We start from the raw sequence: 12,778 nt of genomic DNA, 5'->3' as shown, positions 1-12,778 counted from the left end.
TATGCCAGTTGGTGCCTGTAATCATCTTTTTTAGTTCCAGGAGGTATTTGGGGATTGTTTAAGAGCAAAAGATGAATGGTGCACCGCTAAATCCTGTTAAATCAATGCATGGACACAGCAGCCGCAGAGGTCAATAAGCTGTGGAGGTCTGAATGCCAATAATGAAGTTAAAAATGGTTTTACAGAGCTACTTACATCATAGCATAGTAGTTCAGTCTGTGTGGATTTATCTACTCTTGAAGCAAAAGCCTTCTGTAAATGCCGGACTTTTCCCTGCAAAATGAAAAAACAGCAACAACACATTGTTGGTGAGGTGTGTACTTCTACACTAATATTCTCCACTTATTAAAATTTGATTAGTGTATAATTCATGTTCTTCTCTGTGCATATGCTTTGCTGTGTTAGTGCTCTTAAAATAAGCTTAAATATTTAGAGCTTTAATTTTTAGGTCACAACTGTCCCACCTTAAGCATCTTTTCTTCTACTGTAGGCGTCACTGAGTCAGAACCACAGTTCAACAGTAGAGTCATAATGTGCTTAAATCCAAGACCAAATGTCTATGCTTTGTTTCCTGTTATCTTTTTAAATAACTTAGTTGCTATTATTTTGCTGATCCAGTTTCAGAACACTTACATTTGAAATAAAAAATATTCTTAATAAAAGACCCAATGGATTCTATTCAGTTTGTTTTAATTTTGTCATGCTTCTTCTTTCCAAAAACCTCTACACATTTAGGAATGTTTACCTTAAGAGACTGACACAAATCCGACCCTGTGATAACTAGGGAAGGGAAGTAATACACGAACTAGGTTGGGATTTCATATTTCAAATGCGAAACTACGATTTCTGAGTAAACTAATCTGACTGTGCTTTTTTCTGGGACCTTCCCTTCTCATTCCTAAATGTGTCACTTAAAATGAGATCTTGAGTTTAATTATTATGTAATGTATTTACTAAATGCCTCTCACAGCTGAGAGTGTTGTACTCACTTGATCACATTTTATCTTCAAATATGTACTGTAAATACCACTCATGTTAAATAAAAACAATACAATTTAGGAAGTTTAAGTAACTTGAGACAGTTTTCAAAGAAATTCATGGGATTCCATGAGACTGTGCTTTCCACTTGCTTTAAAGCAGAATGTCTATCATTTTCTTTTCTTTTGAATGGTTAATAAGATAGTTATATAATACCCAAACGATAAAGGACTGTGATTTAATTCTTCCTTTCCCAGGATTGACAATGGTTATCAAGAACCTCACTCTCAAGAATTCCAGTTACACAAAACTCTTCCATCCTCACCTCCCTTCCTTTCCTGTTCCTTCCCCTTCCCTCTTCTCCTTTTCCCCTCCCTCCCTATTCCCTCACACTTTCCTTCATTGCTGCTTGGTATTTTCAAGATTATCTGAGATGTTTATCAAAGTACGTACATAATTTAGGTAAATATAATTTAGTTTAACTTACTGAAATATAGAAAAGAAATATTTTATGTTCTATTAAAGTCTCATCACTTCTGACTTCCCTAATCACAAAACATCTAGTGCTGCTAGTCAGAGAAAAATTAGATGCAGATTAGATCATGCAGGAAGATGTTACATGAGTGAGGTAGAAGTTTTTAATTATTTGAAAAAGATAAGTAAAAATGTGGCTGCATTTTCCAAACTAAATTTCAAATGAGAAAAAAATGTATTTATCTAGACATATTGATTGGGATGAAGAAAAGAACAGGGAGAGGTAGTAATAGGTAAAGGAGCAATAACATTGTCCATCATTGAAAGGTTATTTACAAAAGTTTGATTATCTACTTTTGAGATAGATTAGAATCATAAGTACATGAAAAGTAAATTTTGTTGCAAATCGGTAATTATATAAACTTTTTTGTATGAATTAGAGTCTATGCACTCATGTATAGAGCAGGGGAAAATAGCTGCCAAATGCTTCCATTATGCCACAGCTCACATTTCTATTTCAAGGGCTTTCATCCTGAGGATAGGAGTTGGAAATTGTTGGTAACTTCTGGATTACTGCTCTGAGTTATAAGACTTAGAAAATTCAAATAATGATAAATAAAATTCCAAACAACTTTATTAACCAATATACTAACCAAAACAAGAACAAACAAACAAATAAAAACTTTAAATAAGGAACAGTTATCTTTGGAACTTAAATAAAACACAGACATTTCAAGGGATGTCATTGTTACTCCCTCTTGTAGGCATTAATCACAACAAATGATGTGTTTGAATTATTTATTATGGTATTACGTATGCACGTGTGCCATATTCAGATGTAGAGAATAAAATCTAAGTTTCCTATAGACTTAGGTACAATAATTAAGAATTAAATATTTTTAGCTTAATAGAAGGCCGTAAACATATGAAAGTTTATGACAAATGTCTATCACATACACTTAGAAGATTAAAGAAAGAATACATAGCTTTCAGGAGATGATTCTTGATGGAGCTCTTGTATTTCTAAATGGTAGATGGAAATTTATAAATTGATAAATTTAATATGTACAAAAAGAGTTTTATAGATAATTAAACAGAAAATGTACCACAAAAGTAGCTATTACTAGAGGGTAGAATTGCAGATAATTTTGATTTCTTATACAATAAATCTATCTATATTAATTTCATAAATATATATATTTTATCAGAGATATAGAAACAAAGTATCATCATGTATTTTCAGTTTCACATTGATTTGATATAATGATTAAAGTCTTGACTAAAATTATTATCAGTTTATTTCAGTATACAGAAATTTCACCTTCATGATAGGAATATATTTGTATTTTATAACTTTTTATTAAATGCATATTATGGTTATTGCTTAGAGGGGAGGGGACACTAAGGGAAAAAAAGAAAATATATCCCTTTCTATGAAGACACTTCCACTGTGAGTCAGAAAAATAAGACAATTCGCATTCTATAGGTAAAATACAGTTACCACGGAGAGAGCCCGAGGTGTGTGTGTATGGAAATGGTATGTTGGAGAGGGGACGTACAAAAGAGTTAAATAATTTGGAATGTAGAAGCTACTGACATCCCAGCTAAGACCAGAAAAATGAATTACTATTAGCCAATTTGAAGTGGAACTGAGTGATATGGAATCTAAGAAGGCAATAGTAATTGCAAATATTTAGAAGTCAGAGAGACTATGACAAAGATATGCATAAACAACTACTACTTCAAAATTGCCTAAAGGGAGTCAATTAAAGGGACAATGTGAGGAATGAGATTAGAGTGGTAACTCAAGTTTATGCCAGAAAGGATAGAATGCTATGCCAAAAGATTTGAGAGTCAGCTCAATTTTCAAAATATGATTTTATAATTAAAGACCATAAAATATTTTAACTGAATGAGGATGGAACTTATTTAAATACATCCTTCACTTTATATTGTACATAAAAATGGATATATATGTATGCATCCATACAGAAGGAAGCAATATGGAGAAGACAAACCGCGGAAGTGTGCTGAGCTTTGACCACCAATGAATTTACACCATGTGATTTAAGGTGGCCTTCTTTCAGTATTCTCCCATGTAAGCAGACATTGTCATTCCTTCTTCTAATCTCTCTCAGAAGGATAGTGAAGAATTAAAACAACTCAATTTGTAGTAGATAAATTTTATAAATAAATCTATGCCCCTGACAAAATACCTAATTGTCTTTAAGTTTCCTTTCCAAGCAATGACAAAATACACCGCTTATTTTTTCACATTTATGATTAATAAAACATGTGTGCTTAGAAAAAGCAAAAAAGGCTAGCATATTATGTAAAAAAGTAAAACTAAAATGAGATGAAAGTGACAGATTTTGTGATTTACATTGATTGTTAAATTTCCATGTAATCTGAGTCCTGAATATGTGGAGGTTTTGAGTTATATAATATTGCTATATGAATAAAAATATTTTTCTTCTCTAAGTTTCCAAGTTATTTCATCTGAGATTAAAAGTAATCAATAACATTTGTATAATAAAAGTCAGTAACACAAATAAATATATATGAACCTAATAAAATATATAAATTTATTAAGGGTACTTAACTGTACTCACATTCCCTTTCCTTCTGTAAGCATTACCACTTTAATTATTACTACTAATAATAGATGCCATTAGTAGAATGTAGGTTATATGCCAGGCACTGTATCAAGTAATATATATCTATATGAATCCTCTCCAGAACATACAAAAGCTGTGTTTTTGTTCCTTTTATAAAAAACAGCAAACTGATACTTTGTTAATATCAGTTGGTAAATATCACACAAGATAGTAAGTGGAGCAGCCCAGATGAAAACCTTTTTTATTGGTCTCTAGACCCTAGTACAGTATCTCTGCAAAGATACTATAACTCTTTTAAAAAGCTTACAAATAGTGTTGCTGCCTCCACATCACATATTCAAGGAAACATATCAAATATATATTTTTATACTTGCTGCATAGCTAGTAATTACAGATGGAAATAAAACTATTTTTGGTGTCCACCTTGTCTATATTTTCTTGCAGATTCATACTAAGTCCTTTTTTTTTTTTTTTTTTTTTTTTACTGTGGAAACAATTTAAGATTACTTAAGATTTACCAATGTATTTCCTGTAAAAGCACAATTCCACAGAATGCCTACTAATATAAATATCATCAGCAATGCATTTTGGAGCGTAAGTTTGGAATAAAATGATAAAGTCAACATAGAGTTAAACACAAAATTGGAAGATGTCAAACAAACAAAAACTAAATGTTGAAAAGGCATGAAATCCTTTTGATAGCAATGATATTATCAGTTCAAGCAATCTAAAAATATATTCTATTTAAACTGTTAAAATCATTCATTTGATATGTGAACTCCGTGTGTGTGTGTTTGTGTGTGTGTGTGTGTATTTTACACACTGGATATTCATAGAATCTGACTCCATGACATATCTTGTCTATATAAAAAGGCTGGGTCCTAATTTTTAGGCTTTTAAAATTTAGTTTTATTACTAATATATATATATATATCTCTCTTGAATGAGCATGAAAGACATAATAGGTACTACAAATATATCCATGTTTTTTTCATTTGCACGTGCGCATACTCAAGTACACGCCGCTGAGGAAGCACTGAAGAGGAGGAAATGTGGTAGAAATCAAAACCAAGACAAAGCCATGGCAAAGCCAGTACAACTGGCTTTTAAAATGAAGTCTCAAGTGACTAGGGATATCTAATGTCTTTTACTCCAGCTTTCAGTGCTGTAAAACGAGCTGAAATAAAAATACTCAATAATCCCAAAAAATCAGTCCAATTTATCCCAAATTTCTATTTGAATTACCTACATAAAAGTTGATGAAATTTATCAACAAGATGAAAAAGATGAACTTTCAAAAACTTGGAACATGATGGCCTACGTGTAGTAGTTTGCTTTAGAATCTATAATAAAAAGAAATGTACACACATTAATTAATACAATTAACAGACACTAGTATGTTAGTTAATACAATTAACAGACACTAGTATATAATAGTGATTACATACTTACTGAATATGTACCTTGAGGCTGAAGGAAACAGAAAACATTTGGTTGCTATCCAAAATTTGCAAAAGAAAGTTTGGCAAAAGATAGGTAAAAGCTAGAAAAAGATTTTTTTAATGTAAAAGAAACACAAAGTCTGCTTAAAATAGTATAATCCTAAATTTAGATCCTAAGTCATGAATCTAAAGGTAAAGCTTATGGAAAGAGAAATATTCTAGAAAAACTGACACTGTAAAAGAGGGGAAAAGCTAACTTTTCAAATTGAAAAGTAATATAATTCAACATGAGAAAATTCACAGCCTTCTGAGACAAGTTTAAACTAGAAATTAGGTGGGACAAAGAGAATTTGACCATCATCTTGTAAGGGACTTCAATGTCAATAATAAAAGATTTTTTTTAGGTGTTTATTTTCTTTAATCACTAAAATAAAATCCTGATGTAATTTTTTTGATCTTTTTTAAAAAATTATACTTTAAGTTCTAGGGTACATGTGCACAAAGTGCAGGTTTGTTACATATGTATACATGTGCCACGTTGGTGTGCTGCACCCATTAACTGGTCATTTAACATTAGGTATATCTCCTAATGCTATCCCTCCCCCCTCCTTCTACCCCACAATGGCCCCAGTGTGTGATGTCCCCTTCCTGGGTCCAAGTGTTCTCATTGTTCAATTCCCACCTATGAGTGAGAACATGCGGTGTTTGTTTTTTTGTCCTTGCAATAGTTTGCTGAGAATGATGGTTTCCAGCTTCATCCATGTCCCTACAAAGGATATGAACTCATCATTTTTATGGCTGCATAGTATTCCATGGTGTATATGTGCCACATTTTCTTAATCCAGTCCATCATTGTTGGACATTTGGCTTGGTTCCAAGTCTTTGCTGCTGTGAACAGTGCCGCAATAAACATATCTGTGCATGTGTCTTTATAGCAGCATGATTTATAATCCTTTGGGTATATACCCAGTAATGGGATGGCTGGGTCAAATGGTATTTCTAGTTCTAGATCCCTGAGGAATTGCCACACAGACTTCCACAATGGTTGAACTAGTTTACAGTCCCACCAACAGTGTAAAAGTGTTCTTATTTCTCCACATCCTCTCCAGCACCCATTGTTTCCTGACTTTTTAATGATCACCATTCTAACTGGTGTGAGATGGTATCTCATTGTGGTTTTGATTTGCATTTCTATGATGGCCAGTGATGATGAGCATTTTTTTCATGTGTCTCTTAACTGTATAGACGTCTTCTTTTGAGAAGTGTCTGTTCATATCCTTTGCCCACTTTTTGATGGGGTTGTTCATTTTTTTCTTGTAAATTTGTTTGAGTTCTTTGTAGATTCTGGATAATAGCCCTTTGTCAGATGAGTAGATTGCAAAAATTTTCTCCCATTTTGTAGGTTGCCTGTTCACTCTGATGGTATTTGCTTTTGCTATGCAGAAGCTCTTTAGTTTAATTAGATCCCATTTCTTAATTTTGCTTTTGTTGCCATTGCTTTCAGTGTTTTAGACATGAAGTCCTTGCCCATGCCTATGTCCTGAATGGTATTGCCTAGGTTTTCTTCTAGGGTTTTTATGGTTTTAGGTCTAACATTTAAGTCTTTAATCCATCTTGAATTAATTTTTGTATAAGGTGTAAGGAAGGGATCCAGTTTCAGCTTTCTCCATATGGCGAGCCAGTTTTCCCAGCACCATTTGTTAAATAGGGAATCCTTTCCCCATTTCTTGTTTTTGTCAGGTTTGTCAAAGATCAGATAGTTGTAGATATGTGGCATTATATCTGAGGGCTCTGTTCTGTTCCATTGGTCTATATCTCTGTTTTGGTACCAGTACCATGCTGCTTTGGTTACTGTAGCCTTGTAGTATAGTTTAAGTCAGGTAGCGCGATGCCTCCAGCTTTGTTCTTTTGGTTTAGGATTGACTTGGCAATGCGGGCTCTTTTTTGGTTCCATATGAACTTTAAAGTAGTTTTTTCCAATTCTGTGAGGAAAGTCATTGGTAGCTTGATGGGGATGGCATTGAATCTATAAATTACCTTGGGTAGTATGGCCATTTTCATGATATTGATTCTTCCTATCCATGAGCATGGAATGTTCTTCCATTTGTTTGTGTCCTCTTTTATTTCATTGAGCAGTGGTTTGAAGTTCTCCTTGAAGAGGTCCTTCACACCCCTTGTAAGTTGGATTCCTAGGTATTTTATTCTCTTTGAAGCAATTGTGAATGGGAGTTCACTCATGATTTGGCTCTCTGTTTGTCTGTTATTGGTGTATAAGAATGCTTGTGATTTTTGCACATTGATTTTGTATCCTGAGACTTTGCTGAAGTTGCTTATCAGCTTAAGGAGATTTTGGGCTGAGACAATGGGGTTTTCTAGATATACAATCATGTCATCTGCAAACAGGGCAAGATGACTTCCTCCTTTCCTAATTGAATACCCTTTATTTCTTTCTCCTGCCTGATTGACCTGGCCAGAACTTCCAACACTATGTTGAATAGGAGTGGTGAGAGAGGGCATCCCTGTCTTGTGCCAGTTTTCAAAGGGAATGCTTCCAGTTTTTGCCCATTCAGTATGATATTGGCTGTGAGTTTGTCATAGATAGCTCTTATTATTTTGAGATACATCCCATCAATACCTAACTTATTGAGAGTTGTTAGCATGAAGTGTTGTTGAATTTTGTCAAAGGCCTTTTCTGCATCTATTGAGATAATCATGTGGTTTTTGTCTTTGGTTCTGTTTATATGCTGGGTTACGTTTATTGGTTTGCGTATGCTGAACCGCCTCACATCCCAGGGATGAAGCCTACTTGATCATGGTGGATAAGCTTTTTGATGTGTTGCTGGATTCAGATTGCCAGTATTTTATTGAGGATTTTTGCATCAATGTTCATCATGGATATTGGTCTAATATTCTCTTTTTCTGTTGTGTCTCTGCCAGGCTTTGGTATCAGGATGATGCTGGCCTCACGAAATGAGTTAGGGAGGATTCCCTCTTTTTCTATTGATTGGAATAGTTTCAGAAGGAATGGTACCAGCTCCTCCTTGTACCTCTGGTAGAATTCAGCTGTGAATCCGTCTGGTCCAGGACTTTTTTTGGTTAGTATGCTATTAATTATTGCCTCAATTTCAGAGCCTGTTATTGGTCTATTCAGAGATTCACCTTCTTCCTGGTTTAGTCTTGGGAGGCTGTATGTGTCCTGGAATTTTTCCATTTCTTCTAGATTTTCTAGTTTATCTGTGAAGAGGTGTTTATGGTATTCTCTGATGGTAGTTTGTATTTCTGTGGGATTGGGGGTGATATCCCCTTTGTCATTTTTTATTGCATCTATTTGAATCTTCTCTCTTTTCTTCTTTATTAGTATTGCTAGTGGTCTATCAATTTTGCTGATCTTTTCAAAAAAGTTTTTTTTTTTTTTCAATAAAAAGCTCCTGGATTCATTGATTTTTTGAAGGGTTTTTTGTGTCTCTATTTCCTTCAATTCTGCTCTGATCTTAGTTATTTCTTGCCTTCTGCTCGCTTTGAATGTGTTTGCTCTTGCTTCTCTAGTTCTTTTAATTGTGATGTTAGGGTGTCAGTTTTAGATCTTTCCTGCTTTCTCTTGTGGGCATTTAGTGCTATAAATTTCCCTCAACGCACTGCTTTAAATGTGTCCCAGAGATTCTAGTTTGTTGTGTCTTTGTTCTCATTGGTTTCAAAAAACATCTTTATTTCTGCCTTCATTTAGTTATGTACCGAGCAGTCATTCAGGAGCAGGTTGTTCAGTTTCCATGTAGTTGAGCGGTTTTGAGTGATTTTCTTAATCCTGAGTTCTAGTTTGATTGCACTGTGGTTTGAGAGATAGTTTGCTATAATTTCTGTTCTTTTACATTTGCTGAGGAGTGCTTTACCTCCAACTATGTGGTCAATTTTGGAATAAGTGCAGTGTGGGGCTGAGAATAATGTATATTCTGTTGATTTGGGGTGGAGAGTTCTGTAGATGTCTATCAGGTCCACTTGGTGCACAGCTGAATTCAATTCCTGGATATACTTGTTAACTTTCTGTCTTGTTGATCTGTCTAATGTTGACAGTGGGGTGTTAAAGCCTCCCATTATTATTGTGTGGGAGTCTAAGTCTCTTTGTAGGTCTCCAAGGACTTGCTTTATGAATCTGGGTGCTCCTGTAATGGGTGCATGCATATTTAGGATAATTACTTCTTCTTGTTGAATTGATCCCTTTACCATTATGTAATGGCCTTCTTTGTCTCTTTTGATTTTTGTTGGTTTAAAGGCTGTTTTATCAGAGACTAGGATTGCAACCCTTGCCTTTTTTTTTGTTTTCCATTTGCTTGGTAGCTCTTCCTCCATCCCTTTATTTTGGGCCTATCTGTGTCTCTGCACGTGAGATGGGTTTCCTGAATACAGCATACTTATTGGTGTTGACTCTTTATCCAATTTGCCAGGCTGTGTCTTTCAGTTGGAGCATTTAGCCCATTTACATTTAAGGTTAATATTGTTATGTGTGAATTTGATCCTGTCATTATGATGTTAGATGGTTATTTTTCTTGTTAGTTGATGCAGTTTCTTCCTAGCCTCGATTGTCTTTACATTTTGGCATCTTTTTGCAGTGGCTGGTATTGGCTGTTCCTTTCCATATTTAGTGCTTCTTTCAGGAGCTCTCGTAGGGCAGGCCCGGTGGTGACAAAATCTCTCAGCATTTGCTTGTCTGTAAAGGATTTTATTTCTCCTCCACTTATGAAGCTTATTTTGGCTGGATATGAAATTCTGAGTTGAAAATTCTTTTCTTTAAGAATGTTGAATATTGGCCCCCTCTCTCTTCTGGCTTGCAGAGTGTCTGCTGAGAGATCAGCTGTTAGTCTGATGGGCTTCCCTTTGTGGGTAACCTGACCTTTCTCTCTGGCTGCCCTTAACATCAACATTTTTTCCTTCATTTTAACTTTGGTTCTGACAACTACGTGTCTTGGAGTAGCTCTTCTCGAGGAGTATCTTTGTGGTGTTCTCTGTGTTTCCTGAATTTGATTGTTGGCCTGCCTTGCTAGATTGGGGAAGTTCTCCTGGATAATATCCTGCAGAGTGTTTTCCAACTTGGTTCCATTCTCCCCGTCACTTTCAGGTACACCAATCAGACGCAGATTTGGTCTTTTCACATAGTCCCATATTTCTTGGAGGCTTTGTTCGTTTCTTTTCATTCCTTTTTCTCTAAATTTCTCTTCTCACTTCATTTCGTTCATTTGATCTTCCATCACTGATACCCTTTCTTCCAGTTGATCGAATCAGCTACTGAAGCTTGGGCATTCGTCACGTAGTTCTCGTGACATGGTTTTCATCTCCATCAGGTCCTTTAAGGACTTCTCTACACTGGTTATTCTAGTTAGCCATTCGTCTAATCTTTTTTCAAGGTTTTTAACTTCTTTGCCATGGGTTCGAACTTCCTCCTTTAGCTTGGAAACGTTTGATCCTCTGAAGCCTTCTTCTCTCAGCTCGTCAATGTCGTTCTCCGTCCAGCTTTGTTCCATTGCTGGCAAGGGGCTGCACTCCTTTGGAGGAGGAGAAGTGCTCTGATTTTTAGAATTTTCAGTTTTTCTGCTCTGTTTTTTCCCCATCTTTGTGGTTTTATATACCTTTTGTCTTTGATGATGGTGACGTATAGATGGGGTTTTGGTGTGGATGTCCTTTCTGTTTGTTAGTTTTCCTTCTAACAGTCAGCACCCTCAGCTGCAGGTCTGTTGAGTTTGCTGGAGGTCCACTCCAGACCCTGTTTGCCTTGGTATCAGCAGTGGAGGCTGCAGAATAGCGAATATTGGTGAACAGCAAATGTTGCTGCCTGATCGTTCCTCTGAAAGTTTCATCTCAGAGTGGTACCAGTTCTTGTGAGGTGTCAGTCTGCCCCTACTGGGCAGACACATAATTAGCCTCCCAGTTAGGCTACTCGCAGGTCAGGGATCCACTTGGGGAGGCAGTCTGTCCGTTCTCAGATCTCAAGCTCCGTGCTGGAAGAAACACTACTGTATTCCAAGCTGTCAGACAGGGACATTTAAGTCTGCAGAGGTTTCTGCTGCCTTTTGTTCGGCTATGCCCTGCCACCAGAGGTGGAGTCTACAGAGGCAGGCAGGCCTCCTTGAGCTGCGGTGGGCTCCACCCAATTCCAGCTTCCAGGCTGCTTTGTTTACCTACTCAAGCTTCAGCAATGGCGGGCGCCCCTCCCCCAGCCTCGCTGCTGCCTTGCACTTTGATCTCAGACTGCTGTGCTAGCAATGAGCGAGGCTCTATGGGTGTAGGACCCTCTGAGCCAGGCGTGGAATATAATCTCCTGGTGTGCCGTTTGCTAAGACCATCGGAAAAGCGCAGTATTAGGTTGGGAGTGACCCGATTTTCCAGGTGCCGTCTGTCACCCCTTTGCTTGGGTAGGAAAGGGAATTCCCAGACCCCTTGAGCTTCCTGGGTGAGGCGATGCCTCGCCCTGCTTCAGCTCATGCTTGGTGCGCTACACCCACTGTCCTGCACCCACTCTCTGACAATCCCCAGTGAGATGAACCCGGTACCTCAGTTGGAAATGCAGAAATTAACCATCTTCTGCATCGCTCACACTGGGAGCTGTAGACTGAAGCTGTTCCTATTTGGCCATCTTGGAACCGCCCCCAAGATTATTTAAATAAAACAAAAGCAAGAGAGACACAGAGAGAATCATAGGGATTGCTTAATGATGCCAAGGCCAAAGATGAGCTCAGGAATGAAAATGCAACATTATACAGATCACATTGATCATTGTCACCCACCTTTAATGGGGGCATGCATATCACTGAAGACATCAGTAGAATCTTCAAGAAACACAGCCAAGCAAATAAAACCTCCTCTCATGGAACACAAAATTTTCGGGAGCTATCAAGGAGACACTAAACTTTATTAATATAATTTTTTTGTTGTAGAAAATTGCTAACTTGAAAAAAAGGGAGACTTATAAAAAGAACTCTTATGCAATCATTACCCAGATTTAACAATGGATATTGGAATTAAATAAGAACACAGGCTGGCTCTCTCCACGTTGCTAAGTTCCTGCAGAGAATGCCAGGAAGTCCAAAGAAATCTGGATTTGGAATGTGCTTTTTAAGTAATTATCAAAGTATACTTTCCAAGATAAGAGGTTAGAACATATTTTATTCCATGGTTTTTAAAGCTTTATTTATAACTTCAATATTTAGACTTACATTCTGTGAGCCTTCATTCATATTCTTGGCCTGGGACCCACAAGTGTTAATAGTTGGCCTGTTA

General features: G+C 36.4%; 1 protein-coding gene across 27 annotated transcripts in view; it reads right to left on the bottom strand.

Moving 5' to 3' along the window:
* The window catches only part of CCSER1 (coiled-coil serine rich protein 1), a 1,477,902-nt gene that overhangs the window by 681,653 nt on the left and 783,471 nt on the right, over nucleotides 1-12,778 (bottom strand). For 18 of the 27 annotated variants that reach the window (XM_011531936.2, NM_001145065.2, XM_011531943.3 and 15 more), the window contains one exon: nucleotides 196-273. The exons of 1 other annotated variant lie outside the window; for it this stretch is intronic. In XM_011531936.2, coding sequence (XP_011530238.1) covers nucleotides 196-273 — 78 coding nt within the window. Of the gene's footprint in view, nucleotides 1-195; nucleotides 274-5,315; nucleotides 5,414-12,285; nucleotides 12,389-12,778 lie in introns of those variants that run through there. 8 more of the 27 variants (XR_001741218.2, XM_011531947.2, XM_011531946.3 and 5 more) reach the window with 5 other exon arrangements.

The sequence above is a fragment of the Homo sapiens genome, chromosome 4 (assembly GCF_000001405.40).
Source record: "Homo sapiens chromosome 4, GRCh38.p14 Primary Assembly".
NCBI lineage: Eukaryota > Metazoa > Chordata > Mammalia > Primates > Hominidae > Homo > Homo sapiens.
The sequence above is the reverse complement of the archived record's forward strand: the minus strand, read 5'-3'. Positions and strand labels throughout refer to the sequence as shown.